Raw genomic sequence first — 817 nt, forward strand, 5'->3', positions numbered from 1 at the left:
AAGTATAATTTCTATTTCTATTTCCTCAAGAATGCAGAAGTTCTTTCATTCTCTACATTCTAAAGAAAACTGAAGAGGATAGGTGATTTTTTTCTCTATCATATCCCTTATTTTCTTCCCACAAGAACCACAAAGCCCCCAAACTGGCCCAAGCCTATCTATGACTTGGATAAAAAGGATCCAAGAAACAATGGCTTCCTCAATGATGACTTCATTGTGTGGATGCGGGCAGCTGCCTTTCCCACTTTCAAAAAACTGTATGGTCGACTCAGTCGAACACACCATTTTATAGAAGGCTTGCCTGCTGGTAATTATAGTTTCAACATAACCTATAGTATCCTTTTATACCACTTTTCTTTCTGAAGATGAAAGAAAACCTGGCTGCTAGTTGTTGAGCTATTTCATTCTATACTTTTCTATTTTCTAATCAAATCTGTATACAAAAAAAAAAAAGTGTAAAGGAGGATAAAATTCTCCTATTCCCTCCCAGAGGCTCCAGCTGGGACTGACAGATTAATAACAGAAAAGCATATGAATTTTATGCCTTTAAATGTACATGTGAGCCCTTACAAGAAAAATGGAGACTAAAAAAAGAAGTGACTAAGTCTAAGTTCTCATATACTAGGTTGAACAAAGAATGGCAATTGTAGAAATGTAACTAGGAAGATAAAGGTTAGTTTAGCAAGGGTTTTTGTTGTTGTTGTTGTTGTTTTGTTTTTGTATAGATTTCTCTCAGTCTTGACTCTGTCTGGGAGGCCGAGGCAGGCAGATCATGAGGTCAGGAGTTCGAGACCAGCCTGACCAACATGGTGAAACC

This window comes from Homo sapiens, chromosome 3, assembly GCF_000001405.40.
Source record: "Homo sapiens chromosome 3, GRCh38.p14 Primary Assembly".
Taxonomy (NCBI): Eukaryota; Metazoa; Chordata; class Mammalia; order Primates; family Hominidae; genus Homo; species Homo sapiens.